General features: G+C 49.7%; 1 annotated feature.

Moving 5' to 3' along the window:
* Positions 1188-1687: an enhancer, noted in NCBI's record as "H3K4me1 hESC enhancer chr20:4816447-4816946 (GRCh37/hg19 assembly coordinates)". NCBI's record gives its function as "activates a minimal SCP1, AML or CMV promoter by ChIP-STARR-seq in naive H9 embryonic stem cells {active_cell/tissue: H9 hESC(naive)}" and the evidence as "EXISTENCE:reporter gene assay evidence [ECO:0000049][PMID:30033119]".

Raw genomic sequence — 2202 nt, forward strand, 5'->3', positions numbered from 1 at the left:
GAGTAGCCAGGGAGGAAGGATGCTGTGCCCAGAACCATGACGACATCCATGTTCCATCAGCCCACCACCACCGAAACAGAGATGAGACCCTGGCGAGAAGGTGGGAATGGGACTGCAGAAAGGAACATTTCAGAAGTAAGTAAATTTTAACCTAAAATGACCACATTTCTCAGAAATTGACCAGCATGATTTTTGCTGCCAGCCAAATGGAGGTTCAAAGTAGAGATTAAATTTCATATATATATATATATATATATATATATATATTTTTTTTTTTTTTTTTTTTTTTTTTTTTTTTTTTTGTTGAGACAGAGTCTCACTCTGTTGCCCAGGCTGGAGTGCAGTGGCACGATGTCGGCTCACTGCAACCTCCGCCTCCTGGGTTTAAGCTATTCTCCCGCCTTGGCCTCCCGAGTAGCTGGGATTACAGGTGCCCGCCACCACGCCTGCCTAATTTTTGCATTTTTAGTAGAGACGGGGTTTCACCATGTTGGCCAGGATGGTCTCGATCTCCTGACCTTGTGATTCACCCACCTCGGCCTCCCAAAGTGCTGGGATTACAGGTGTGAGCCACTGCGCCCTGCCTAAATTATATTTTTTTAAAAAGTTTCAGGTGCTCTGTGTGGAGGTTAAAGGTAGAGACCAGGGATGTAATACAGTCACTACACAGAAGCCCCTAGGAAGACAGGACTCAGTGTAGAAGAGAACTCCCTCATAAAAGGAGTGACATCTGGGTCAGGTCTTAAGGGTGAGATGGGGAAGGACATTCTAGGCAGAGGCAGCAGCAAGTTCAAAGCCATGAGGAGCCTGGCTCGACCAGAGAACAGCGTGTGGTCCAGCGTGGGTGGAACAGAAGGTGGGAGGTGAGAGGTGTTTCATGTTCCACTTATGCAGCCAAGAAACAATATTCAAGACAAGTCAAATTCCCTGATTCCTGTCGTGTTTCAGGGACACAGCTCACCTTCCCCTATGTGTGTACTTGGTCCAAACCACAGGGCCAGACGGGGAGCCAACGCCACCTCTCACGGCGATGCAGAGCCAGCTGAGAGGAGCCAGCTGGGAGAAGTTTCTTGGAGGACAGACATGCTTCCTGGGCCAAGAAATATCAGGAAGAAGCCAAGGAGGGGAGGGCTGGACAGCACAGCCAGCAAGACTGGTCCATTGACCCATTCCAGCCTGTCATGAGATGCCTGAGACGCTGACCCTCCGCCCAGAGCTGGCCAAATCTCTGCAGATGCAAAGCCAACTCCCAGGGCTTTACCACTTTGAGACTTTGACCGCCCATCCTTCCTGCCCCTGGCCCAGCCCACCCTCCTCCGTGCACAGAGATGAACGTTCAGCATGTTCTCTCCCACACTTGACCTAATCGCTTTGCTATGGAGACTTCCCCGACCCAGCAAGCAGCCCCACGCCTTCCTGCTGTGCTCTGATTGAGAACAGGCCCAAGCTATCCAGGCCTTCCAACAACCTTAACCTCTTCCTCCCCAGACCCAGGCAATCAGGAATGGTGGGGAGGAGAGACTTGAAGCATCTAAGTGACTCAACAGAGAATGTAATTATGATATCCAGTCAATTGGCTCTTGTTCTGAAGGAATGATGACACCGTACCCAGGCAAGCAGGGAGGAGATGGGCATAAGATGAGATGGGAGAGGCCATGTCATGCCTTGTATTGCAGGCCACGATGAGGAGCTGGGGGTTTCAGTCATATTGCAATAGGATGCCCTTGAATCATGGGTTTATTATAGGAGTTAGACCTTATGTCCTTGTGGGAAAAGCTGGTGAGGTAACACCTGTAAGGATCACTGGAAGATCAGAAAGATGTCACAGTGGAAACGATGAAAAAAATCTACGGAAGGCTGTTCTTTGTGTGTAGTGGTAAACCTGGGTCAGCCAGGGCAGGCTACAAAGAAAAGCTTGACACGAAGTGGGAAAAAGCAAACATGAATGGAGACCCAGGAAGCCACAGCAAAACCCATGAGGACAAATTGGAACCTGTCTGTCTTTCATACATCTGGAGTGACCTACAGAAGACGTCTGTGGGCTGGGTGCGGGTGGCTGACGCCTGTAATCTCAGCACTTTGGGAGAGTGAGGCAGGAGGACTGCTTGAGCCCAAATGTTCAAGACCAGCCTGGTTAACATGGAGAAACCCAATCCCTACAAAAAAATACAAAAATTAGCCGGGCATGGTGGTGTGTGCGTG

This window comes from Homo sapiens, chromosome 20 (genome assembly GCF_000001405.40).
Source record: "Homo sapiens chromosome 20, GRCh38.p14 Primary Assembly".
Classification (NCBI taxonomy): domain Eukaryota; kingdom Metazoa; phylum Chordata; class Mammalia; order Primates; family Hominidae; genus Homo; species Homo sapiens.